The sequence below is a fragment of the Homo sapiens genome, chromosome 3 (genome assembly GCF_000001405.40).
Source record: "Homo sapiens chromosome 3, GRCh38.p14 Primary Assembly".
Taxonomy (NCBI): Eukaryota; Metazoa; Chordata; class Mammalia; order Primates; family Hominidae; genus Homo; species Homo sapiens.
Genome location: NC_000003.12, coordinates 126,198,251 through 126,210,458, shown reverse-complemented (window position 1 = coordinate 126,210,458; position 12,208 = coordinate 126,198,251). Strand labels below are relative to the sequence as shown.

Below are 12,208 nucleotides of genomic sequence, written 5' to 3'. Positions count from 1 at the left end.
TGTTTTTTAAATTATGAAATAGAAACCCCTGATAATTGAAGGACTTGGGGATATTAGAGTTGGAGGTATTTGAGTTCATATCCCAACCCCCTTAAAGTAGTGTTTCCAAAATTGGGTGTGCATATCACTGGTAGTACACAAGTTGATTTTAGGGGACATATGAAATCTGTTATTTTATAGTTGTGCTATTTTGTTTAGTTACCCTTTGTTTACGGCATGTGATACTGGTTTTCCATCTTCAGTGATGATATGTGCAAGTTACAGAAAGATATTTAAACAAAGGCAATAATTTGATTTAAAGGAAACTTTTAATAATCGCACATATATTGTATAAATATGCCATGAAAACTAAGTGACTCAAGTTTGAGAAACACTTCTTTAAAGGTAAATTCTGATGCCTGCATGCAACAGATGACAAGGGGGGTACGGTGTAGTTTAGTGGCCTGGCCAAGGGCCCTGGCTACTCCATGGTGCTACTGGGATACACAGCCAAACCCGGGAAGATGGTCCATGTCCTCCGAGGCCAGCTGGAAGGGCTTGTCCAGTGAGGCAGCTACAGGGCTGGGCCTGGAGCCCAGGGCTTCCCAGTGGATGCTACTGCTCAGCCCTCCTGGCCCACATCTCTTAACTCACTTGGAGGGGGTCCCTCCTGGAGGCAGGATGCCCCTTCACACCCTTATCCTCCCTTCTCATTTTCCAACGTGGCCAGCAAGTGCTTTGATCTCTCTTGGAAATGTCTCTGGCCTCCTGACTTTAGGAATGAAAAATGTCCACACCGTGGCCTGGTGGGGGTGGGGTATGAGTGTTAAAAATCAGTCTTCCAAGTGGAAAAATATTTGATGGGAATTTTGACAAACAGTTGGGGAAGGATTAGGATAAGAATGAAGTGATTTATGGAAATGAAACTATGGCCGAAAAATTCAAATTTTTTTTGTCAGCATTCCAAATGACAAAATTATTTCATCACTAGACCTCGCCAAGGCTTTCTGAAAGTTGAATACCCATTGGTCTTCCAGGGTCCAGCTCATGCCCTGCACCAAGAGTAGGGATGGGCGAGGAGGGTGTGACCCAGCAGAGAAAGTTTCAGTTTGTGAGCAAACACCTGTCATGTCCAGGAGGCCTGGAGACCTTGTGGCTCTTGTCACATGATGAAGGGGTTGAAGAAATTCATCTACACACTGTGGAACCCGGACTCAGCCCTGGACCACAACTTTCCCTCTGTCATTCATTGGCTGTGACACTGAGAGATCAATTTCCCCTCTGAGCCTCAGTTTTTCCATTTGCAGAATTGGGGAAGGAACCCCCTCCCTCTTGGGTTTGTTGTGCGAAGGCAATGAGGTGTTTCCCATGTGCAGCTGTGAACACCATGAGAACACATGCCACTCCCCATCTTCCCAAGAGCCTTGACGCCTTCTGCATGGGCATGTCTTCCACCGCAAGCAATAGAAACTGTGTCTGGTTGACTGGAGCAAGAATTGGAGAGGATGTGGGTAGCTCTCAGAATCAAAGAAAAAGTGCAAAATCAACCCATAAGAGCCAGCGTGCAGACAGTCCCCTCTTAGGAACTGAGGGACACTCCTCAGGGAGCCATGGCAGCAGCACAGCAGGTCAGCTGTTTCCGTCTTGGCATGGCTCCACTATGACTCAGCGTCCTGGGGGAACCAGAGTCTGATTGGCTTGGCCCGTGTCCCAGCTCCTCGCCCAGGAAATGCCTCAATTGATTGTTACACCAGGACTGCATGCAACATAGACTTGTGCCCTAGAGCCAAATCAGTGAGTGCCATCAGAAGGACCGGGCATGGGGAATGAAAATAAACCACCACCGCCAACAAAAAAACGGGGGAACCAACCATAAATTCCTTCCGCTGAATGTTGGAGCCCATCTTTTCATTTGCATGATCCACCCTCTCCATTCTGTGTCTTCCAGTTGCAGCTACTCTTCAAGGATCACTAAGGACCATTCCACCTACTGAACAGTGATCACAGCATCAGTGTGTTAACTTCTGCTGTGAGCACCAATCTTCACATTCTCCAAAGTGCTGTGTGATTGCAGTTCCTATCATATCCACTCTTGTTGGCTTTTCACACGTACTGATGAGCTGTCAAGGCAGGAGATCCCCCATTTCCAGGGCCCTACAGAGGTTCAGATGAGAGAAGAGACAGGAAGTGAGTGACCTAAGCTCATAAGGCTTGTACGTGATGGAGCTAGGGCTTTACTTACTAATTTTAGGAATTTTTCTGTTTATTCTCTTGAGACTTCTGCAGATCAAAATCATTGTATCTGAAAATAGTAATGTTTTATGTCTTCTCTCTTAATAATTATGTATTCTATTTTGTTTTTATTTTATTGCACTACTAAAAAATTTTACAATAAAAAAGTGACAGCTGATACCTCTATTTATTTCCTGGACTTGATGAGCGTGTTTCTCAGGTTCTGCTGTAAAGCACAATGTGTAAAGTATGTAAAATGGTAATACTTGGCATACAGTAAGTGCTACATAGGTGTTAATATTTGCATCACTCTGTAGTTCTGAACTCATCTGCCTAACAAGCACAGCCTGCCCCCACTATCCCTCCTGTGCCCCAGACATGGGTATAGCTGAAGAGGGCCTTGGTTTGGTTTGATTCCATCATGTATGCACTCAGTGGAGACTCAGTAAGTGTTTATTAACTTAAAATGCATGCCCGAATGAACGAATCAGTCCATTGAGTTCTAGCGGCCCTTACCTGGGACACGCTGGCCTCATGGCCAAGGAAAAGAGCTTGCGGAACCAGGTGATGATTTTTAAAGCTTGGTATGGATAGTCTCCAAAGACAGTCACCATCAATTTCTTTCCTCCCTGTATGTGCTGGATGATTCTTACACCAAGTACTGGAATCTTGCCTTTGTCTTACTAACAAAGTCTGGACTAACCTTAGTGACTTGCTTAACCAATGGATTGTGATGGAAGTAACATTCTAGGACTTCTGAGGCTGGGCTTGTAAGATGCCTGGATCTCTTGATAATGTTCCCTCCTGGAATTTAGCTGTCAGGCTGTGAGAATCCCAAGCCATGTGGAGATGCCATATGTGAGTGCTCCAGTGAAGAGCCCCCACTGAGGCTCCAGGTGACAGTCAGAATCCACTGCTCACTGTGCGACTCGGCCATTTTGGACATCCGGCCCAGCTGAGCCTTCAGGTGGTGTGCAGCCGCAGCCAGAAACTGACTACCACACATAAGAAACCTAAGAAAGAACTACCGCACCCAGTCCACAGGGCCATTACATCATAATGAACCATTATTTTAAGCCACTCTGTGTTGGGATGGTGTTTTTGTTTTGTTTTGTTTTTTTGTTTTATTTTGTTTTTTGTGAGACAGAGTCTTGCTTACAGGCTGGAGTGCAGTGGCGCGATCTTGGCTCACTGCAAGCTCCACTTCCTGGGTTCACGCCTTCTCCTGCCTCAGCCTCCCGAGTAGCTGGGACTACAGGCGCCTGCCACCATGCCTGGCTAATTTTTTTTTGCATTTTTAGTAGAGACGGGGTTTCACCGTGTTAGCCAGGATGGTCTCGATCTACTGACCTCGTGATCTGCCCACCTCGGCCTCCCAAAGTGCTGGGATTACAGTGGGATGGTTTTAAAAGCAGTAACAGATACCCAGAGAGCTTCTGCTTAGAAGGCACACATCACTTCCCTGCTCAGAATCCAGCACTGAACTCCCAATTTATTGGTCAAGAAGTGATGTCCACAGGGCAGAAAAATATGGGCATTCCTCAAAGACGTAGCAAGTATTTAGGGATAATAGTAAGAGAATAAAGTGGCTGGATATAAAATAAACACAGTGATAAGTTGCATTTATATATACTTGCAACAACCCTTTACAAAATAAAGTGAACAAAGATCTCTTTTACAATCACAATAAAAATAAAATATCTAGAAACAACATTAGTGCCTTGGATACATCTAGTTCCTAGTACAATCCCCCAGGGAGGCTGTGAGAAGTTTTGTAATGAGCTTGTTAACAGAGATTGTATATTGGGAAATTTCCAGCAAATTTGCAAATTGGCATACTACTTCTGCCAAATGACTAAAAATGTTCTGTTGAACTGCTAAAACTTTCCTGTGTATGTGCTGAGGTTGTGATAAAATGGCAAAGTAGGATGGCTGGTCTGATTGGACTCCAATTGAAACATTCTCTCAAGTATGTGCTAAAGCAAAAAGCATGAAGTCAGCTGCAAGTGAACAAGTTGTCAGGCTTGTGCCTCAGCTTCCATGAAAGGAGCTGGCAGAGGCAGCCCTGCTGACCTCTGAGCTTTGCACGACCTGGGTGTCCAGCATAGATCTGGGTATGACCTCCAGGAGGAGGCAGGCAGCCTTCAGGGCTGCAAGCTTCTGTTAGAAGCTTAGCAAGCGTCTCTGACCATCACTTCCTCTGGAAATGTATTCTTTAATAAACCATTGCATTCATGAGTGAAATTGAATAAACATCCCAGGATTCTCAATCTTTGGGAAAAAGCTCATTCTAAAGTCACAAATTGTCTCACTAGAGAAAAATGCCACTGTATGCAGTACACACAAATGATTACATACTGCTTCTAATGGTTACTGACTCTGTGACCCTTGTCCCCAAGCCCCAAGTTGAGAAAAGCTTGTATTTTAGAGGTTTGAATGACAAGGGGAGGGAAAGGATAGGGAGATGAGACAATCCCTCCCCAAGATGAACCCTTCCCGCAGGTGTGTCCATCTCCTAGGTGCAGCCACCTCCCAGGTGTACCTTTCTCCCAGGTATACCCTTTCCCCAGGTATACCCACTCCCCAGGTGTACCTTTCCCCTAGGTACACCCTTTCCCTAGGTGTACCTTTTCTAGGTGCACCTTTTCCACAGGTACTCCCTTCCCCCAGGTGCACCCACATCCCAGGAACACCCTTTCTCCAAGTGTACCCACTCCCTAGGTACACCCTCTCCCCAGGTGCACCCACTCCTCAGGTATACCCTTCCACCAGGTGCACCCTCTCCCCAGGTGTACCCTTCCCCCAAGTGCACCATTTCCCCAAGTATACCCACTCCTTAGGTGCACCCTTCCCCCAGGTGCACCCTCTTCCTAGAGGCACCCACTCCCCAGGTGCACCCCCTCCCCAGGTGTACTCTTCCCCCAGCTGTGCCCTCTCCACAGATGTACCGTCTCCCCAAGTGCACCTACTCCCCAGGTGAACCTTCTCCCAGGTGTACCAACTTGCCATGTGTACCCTTCCCCCAGGTGCTCCCTCTCCCCAGTTGCACCCTTTCCTGAGGTACACTCACTCCCCAGGTACACCATTCCCCCAGTTGTACTTTTCATCCAGGTGTGCCCTTCCCACCAGATGCTCCTCCCCCTGGTGTGCCCTTCCCCTGGGTGTACTTGACTCACTTTCCTTCAGTAGGTTTCCGCTCAGTTATCACTCTATCATGAAGCTTCCCTCACCACTCTGTTTAAAATGCAACCTCCCTCAACTCTCCCTCTCCTCTCCCCTACTTTATTTTTCTCCATTTCATATAGCTGATAATTCCCATCTTTATTATGCTTATTGTCTGTTCCCAGTCAGGTAAGTCCTATGTGGTGTTTTTTTGAAATTTTGTTCTTTGCTATATCTCAGTGTCTGGGACAGTGTCCAACATATCCTAGGTGCTCAGTACACATTTATCAAGAGAATGAATGGATTGGACACATCCATCTCCCTTCCCTGACTCTGAACTTCTGGAGCACAGGGACCCTGCCTTTTTCATCCAGGCCAATACATAGCAAGTGCTTGTTTAAATGTTGGTTGAACTCAGTGGCCCACCCATTACAACATAAAGACACCAATACTTTCAGGAAGCTTCAGCGAAAAACCCTTATAGAAAAAACTCTCCCAGGTGTATGCCCTCTGCACCAATTGCAAAGCTCTCGACCTCATTAAAAAGCATTTCATTAGAAGGTGACTGATATGGTTTGGATTTGTGTCCCCGCCCAAATCTCACCTCAAATTGTAATCCCCAATGTTGGAGGAAAGGCCTGGTGCGGGGTGATTGGATCGTGTGGCCAGATCCCCACTGTTGCTCTTGGTATAGTGAGTTCTCATATCTGGTTGTTTAAAAGTGTGTGTCACCTCCCGCCTCTCTCTCCTCTTCTTCCTTCTCTGGCCATGTAAGATGTGCCTGCTTTCCCTTTGCCTTCCACCATGATTGAAAGTTTCCTGAGGCCCTCCCAGCTATGCTTCCTGTGGAACCATGAGCCAATTAAAACTTCTTTTCTTATAAGTTACCCAGTCTCAGGTAGTTCTTTATACAATGCGAGAACAGACTAATACAGTGACCTCATTGGGATTTATGCAATCTTATCAGAAATGAAATTTCACAAGTCCACAGTATCAGTGCCATGGGGAACCTAAGAATCCCGGAAGTCAAGGGCAGCTCTTTGCCTGTCCTGAGCCCTCAGCACAGGGAATCAGTGCTGTAATTGAACTCACTGGAGTAACCCTATAAATGGAGAGATGGCCGCGTGTGAGTCTAAGCAGAACTGGACTTGGCAGGGAGGACCCAGGCAGCCCAGGGACACGGTGCCCATGTTCCCGTTTCCTGTAGAACTTTGCAAGCATGATACCCATCTCTAGCATGAGCCATCAGGGCCCCAGCATGGACCTGAAATCAGAGCCTGCAACCCCCGTGTCTCCCTCCTTCTCTTTCTCAGCCTACATCCCTGCTTCCTTAGCCATCAGGCCCTGCTAGGGAGGCTGTCCCAGCCCTACCTGGCCTGACCTTTGGGGCCTGAGAGGGTAAGTCCAGCCTAGGTGTGTGTGTGGGGGGGTGGGGTAGACAACAGCCAACTGCCTTAGGAGCAGGTTCCCTACACACAGACCCCTGCTCCCTGAATGTGGCAGAGGGATATCCAAGGACGTGTATGTGTTTGCCTGTTCATTAGCTCACTAAGCCCTGCCTTCTGCAGACACCCTGGTGGTGCTAGGTGTACAAGGATGAGACAATGGACCTCCCCTTCTGCACCTGAAGTGGGCCTGCTGCACACATCCAACAAGAGTGGAAATACCAAACACATTAATAAGTGCTTCCAAATAATACGCTTGCACAGCTATTGCCCAATGAGTAATTTCTGATATGCTCTGCGGAGTGTTTGTCAGGACAGATGAAGATTTATTCCTTGTGCCAGCCCCCTTCTCTGCATTTTCCCTTTCTCCCCAACCCTCCAATCTCCCAGTACGGATGTAGTAAAATATTGATAAATTTTACAATCTATTATACATTAGTAGTCTATTAAGACTATGTACCACACTGCAAACGCAATAGTAGTATATGGTGGGGTTTTTTCCTAGTCCAACTTTTTGTTTCGCTTAGAGTTAGTGATGACCTCATTTTAAAATTTGCTTCATTTTGGTGCACTGATCTTTATTTATTTTTTCAAAATGCTGCATTAGACCTGTCAAGTACATGGCCATATCCTTTATAAGGTGCCTCATCTTGCAGACTCTGTCAACCCCACTGTGCCCCAGCACCTCTGCCTTGCTGCACAGGACCTCTGGCTGCCCAGCCTGCAGGCATCCTGAGACTGACTGTAGCCCGTGTCCTGTACCAGTACCCGCCCCCACGGCTCCTGCATCCAGATCTTGCTGTTCCTTTGTTTGTTCTGTTTTTTTTTTCTTTTTTTTTTTTTTCTGGATTGCGTGCTCCAGTGGCTTCTAAAAAAGAGTTTTGAGGAAGGGGGCATATTTTCAGTCCTTCTTTGAGTTAACAAGTGCTCCTGTTTCATTGTCTCATGTTTCATTGGGAATAAAATATTTAAAAGTGGGTTCCTGTCTTCCTTTCAAGTGCAGCACCACCTTTTTCCAAGATGCTGTTGTTATTTGCATCCTAGTTTCCTTGTCCAAGAGCTGTGTGGATGTGGTTGTCAGCATCTCTCCTTTCCCTTTCTCATGAATGTCTGCTTCGCAACTCATCCTTAGTGGGCATGAGGCCAGTCTTTGCCATCTGGGTGTCCTGGCCCTTCAAGTCTGAAATGGAACTGGCTGAACTTCCCACCTGCTGTGGTGGAGTCTGGGGCCGTAGCTAAGAAGGCACAACACTGTGATTGTCTGAGAATGTCTGCAATTGTCTGTGATTGAACGCTGTGATTGTCTGAGAGTGTCTCAGTTCAGTGGTCAGTCTATTCCCTACATGTCTAATAAATGAAAAAAGTTTCATACAGTAACTGGAAGTCAACTAGAATATATGCGACTTCACTTATTGTTCAATGTTGGGTTGATTCATGGGTGGATTTTCTAAACCTTTCATCTTTTATGGGTTGATTTTCTAAACCTTTTATCTTTTATGTTATTTTCCATTTATTCATCATTTTAATCTAATTTTTGGAAGGTGTTTCTAACTTTATATTTCAAACCTATTGAATGTCATTATTTCACTTATCTAATTATCTTCTTAGAATCTTTCTTGTTTTCAAATTATTTTTTTATTGAGACCAAAGAAGCTACATAAAATGTTACAAGCCTAAATTTGAACTGAAAGTTTCAATATCAATTTCATTTTGTTTTTGTTTTTAGAGACAGAATCTCACTCTGTCACCCAGGTTCAAACTCCTGGGCTCAAGCCGTACTCTTGCTTCAGCCTCCTAAGCAGCTAGGACTACAGCTGCATGCTGCCATGCCTGGCTAATATATTTTTTAAAAAATCTGTAGAGACTGTTTTGCCCAGGCTGGTCTTGAACCCCTGGCTTCAAGTGATTCTCCCACCTTGGCCTCCCAAAGTGTTAGGATTACAGGCGTGATGCTTGAATAGTAACAAGAGTTTTTGCAGGATAGTAACAGGCCTTCAGTTCTGTACACAAACAACAGTAATAGCAATTGCCTCAGGGAAGTCCAAAGAGGGTGAGTGGGTTGTTAACTTTTTCTCTATTCATTTTTGGATTGTTTCGTGTTTTATACCAAGCACATATTCCTTTTGTAGTTAATTTTAACCTTATAATAATTTCTGTTTACAGATCTTACATGTTGTGTTTAATGGGTTTTGGCAGTTTCACAACCTGCACAGCCACCATCTCGAACAAGCTAGAGGACATTTCATTGCACCAAGAAATATCCTGGGGTTGCTTTCCGGTCAACCCCACCCTCACCCAGTGACTGTGCTGACTTTTATTACCATACATTAGTTTTATCTGATCTCAAACATCCTGTAGAAAAGTCACACAGCATGTACTATTTTGAGTCTGGCTTCTGTCACTTAACATAATATTGCTGCATGTATTCCTTCCTTTTTATTAATAAATAATACTCTACTGTATAAAAGTATTAATTTTTTTATTCATTCTCCAATTGGTGGGCATTTGACTTGTGTTCAGGTCTTGACTATGGTGAATAGGCTGCTGTGAACATTCTACAAGTCTTTGTGTGGATGTATATCTTCATTTCTCTTGGGTAAAATACACAGAAGTGGAATGGCTGGGTCAAAGAGTGCATAGTTAATTTTTAATAACATAATTTGAAAAATAAAGCAAAAAGCTACAGCAATTACAAAAGGTGGTGGCCAGCCCAGGAATAAGCAAACACCAACTGCAGAGAATGGAGAATATAAGAATGTGTGTGCTTCCCATCTTCAGCCTCAAGCGGGCCCTCATGGCCACAGCCACCTCAGGAACCCTCCTTAGAACTCTTCAGTAACATTTGTAGGGGCCATTGATTTGAATCAGGCTCCTCTCCTGCATCCAGCAGACCAAGCCAATATGGAGTCACTCATGCTAAATGTCACTAATTTCCTTAAGAGTATACTAAGGCAACAAATAGCTGAGTTTGGTTAGTTAAGGCTTGAGCCTTATGTCATAGTAGGCAGTCAGCCGACCCAGTGAGATAAAACGCTGAGCTGTAGCCAACTTAGTTGTTCTTTTTGCTCCATGTTGGTTTTCTGTTCATAAATGCTGTCTGACCATGTGGCAGGCAGGAGTTCTCTGAACTTGTTCTAGTTCTAAGGGCTGCCCAGCTTGCAAGTTTTTTTCCCCTTAAATAAACCTGATAAATTTAAGCTTGCCTGAGGTTTTCCCTTTTCAACAGATCAGTGAATGTGAAGAAACTCAAAGAGGAGCATAGTGACCCCCAGGAGCAGGGGGTGGCAAAGCAAAGGCACCCACCAGGCCCATTGTGCCCACTGATCCCCTGGAACTGGGGATGGTGGATTGAGCCCTCTCGGATTCTGAGCTCCACTCATTCGGGTTCTGAGCTCTCTGAGCTTATTTGAGAAATTTGATCCAGACTGGGTTCAGAAATCTTCAAACTGGACTGGATCCTATAGAGGTTTCAGATGTCTGGCTGGGTCAAGAAGAAACTGAACTGGGTGTGGTAGGTAGGGTTCCTAGGAGATAGGGAATCATGGGTTCACTGGGATCCAAGGAGCTTAGAACTCCCCCATCTGGGACTCTAGTCAATTTCTTGTATATGAACTATGGACCCAGAATCAGGGCTTTTCTGGAGAAATGGGTGAGCCTTACCAAAAATAATTTAGAGTTACAGCAGCCACAGTGGGGAAGTTTGTTTGCTTGTTTGATGAGACAGAGTTTTACTCCTTTTACCCAGACTGGAGTGCAATGGTGCGATCTCGGCTCACTGCAACCTCTGCCTCCTGGGCTCAAGGGATTATTCTGTCTTAGCCTCCCAAGTAGCTGAGATTACAGGTGCACACCACCCCCCGCCCCCAGCTAATTTTTGTATTTTTTGTAGAGATGGGGTTTCACCCTGTTGCCCAGGCTTGTCTTGAACTCCTGGTCTCAAGTGATCCATCCCCCTCAGCCTCCCAAAGTGCTTGGATCACAAGGATGAGCCACTGTGCCTGGCTGAGAAGTTTTAATTTAGATAAAATTGTTTATTTTCAGGGAAAAATTAGAAATACAAAGAGAAAAAACCCACAAGAACAACGGAATGCATTTTTAATTGGTATGCAGAAACATGTAAAAGATTAAACAAAGAGTGTCTGACTTAAAGGTTTCTTCCCAGGAGACAAATAAAAAGCTTAATCAGCAAACTGAGGACCAGAGGAAGGAGGACTGCCGCTCATTGAATTGAATTAACTCTGACTGCTCCTTGCTGTCTTTGCCATTACTTCAATACCCTGAGTCCACTGATTGTTTTGCTCAAGTACCTTTCCATCTTGAGGAAAATGAAAAGGAGAGGTTGGACAACTGTCTTACAAAGTGAGACCCTCTGAACACCTAGGCCTGCCTGCTGTAACCACTTTTACTCCATGCTCTGAAGCTGAACTTAGAGCCTTCATAAGATACTTTCCTGATGCAAGAGAAAATCCTCAAATGTTTACCTAGGAATTTAGAATCCCCATAGGAGCTTATGATCCAGGAACTTCTGACTTTATCAATTTATTCACTTGATTTTGGGACTTGGTAAAGCTCAAAGGTGTATGAAAGCAGCAGAATAGAGAGAACCCGAGGGGATATTAAAGACCTTAAAAAACCTTCTTGCTACAACAAGCTGGAAGAACACTGAAAACCTTTTAAATTCAGTTCCTAAGTCTTCTCCACAAAAAAAGGATCCATCTGTCAGACAGTCTTGCAGGTGAAAAAAGGACGGACCCATTTCATATTGCAGAGCTGGTTTAGAAACACTATTTGTGAAACATTCTGCACTCAAAAGACAGCAAGGAGAATTTCCTGTAGGGACTAAAATGGCATTAACTGCTCTATTTATAAACAAACGTTGTCCCGAATTTAGCAGTTGCATTAAGAAGCATGAACTTGGATGGGGAATGACAGACATGGTTGAATTCGTGGCTTTAGCTGAGCATTTTCAAAGGACTCCAGAATAAGAAAAAGCACAAAAAGCTAATAAGCTTATGTCTTTTCAATTGCAACAATTACAGGGGCCAAAGCCAAAGGGACCATCTTCTCCTTGTTTTAAACCACAGCCTAAAGAACCTAGAGTAAGAAACCCTTCACCCCAAGATGTCTGCCTACATTGCAAACAGCCAGGTCCCTGGGAGAGAGGCTGCCTAGTCATCCAAGTCTACCAAGGAGCCTCCTCCTTTCAGCGGGGATGGTCTGCCCACTAGAGGGAGTCCATGAGATCACAATCAGCCTGGCTGCAGGAGGGACCCTCCAGCTAGCTGTTGCCTGTGATGCCTTTTGATAAATAATGAGAAACAGAGGCTAAGACAAGCAGGGAACGTGTACCATGCTGGTGAATATTGGGGCTACTTTATCTTTCACAAACC

The 12,208-nt window shown here is 44.9% G+C and overlaps 1 long non-coding RNA gene across 1 annotated transcript in view, besides 2 other annotated features; it reads right to left on the bottom strand.

The window, feature by feature from the left end:
- Nucleotides 1-289: 289 nt before the first annotated feature.
- Nucleotides 290-12,208, bottom strand: part of ALDH1L1-AS2 (ALDH1L1 antisense RNA 2) — a 30,105-nt gene continuing 18,186 nt past the window's right edge. The window contains exon 2 of the long non-coding RNA NR_046383.1: nt 290-2,133. This is a non-coding gene — a long non-coding RNA (ALDH1L1 antisense RNA 2). The remainder of the gene's footprint in view (nt 2,134-12,208) is intronic.
- Nucleotides 1,131-2,330: an enhancer, noted in NCBI's record as "MED14-independent group 3 enhancer chr3:125926972-125928171 (GRCh37/hg19 assembly coordinates)". NCBI's record gives its function as "activates an origin of replication core promoter dependent on BRD2, BRD4, P300/CBP and CDK7 cofactors, and independent of MED14, by STARR-seq in HCT116 cells {active_cell/tissue: HCT116}" and the evidence as "EXISTENCE:reporter gene assay evidence [ECO:0000049][PMID:35650434]".
- Nucleotides 12,072-12,121: an enhancer, noted in NCBI's record as "active region_20437". NCBI's record gives its function as "activates an Ori minimal core promoter by ATAC-STARR-seq in GM12878 lymphoblastoid cells {active_cell/tissue: GM12878}" and the evidence as "EXISTENCE:reporter gene assay evidence [ECO:0000049][PMID:35858748]".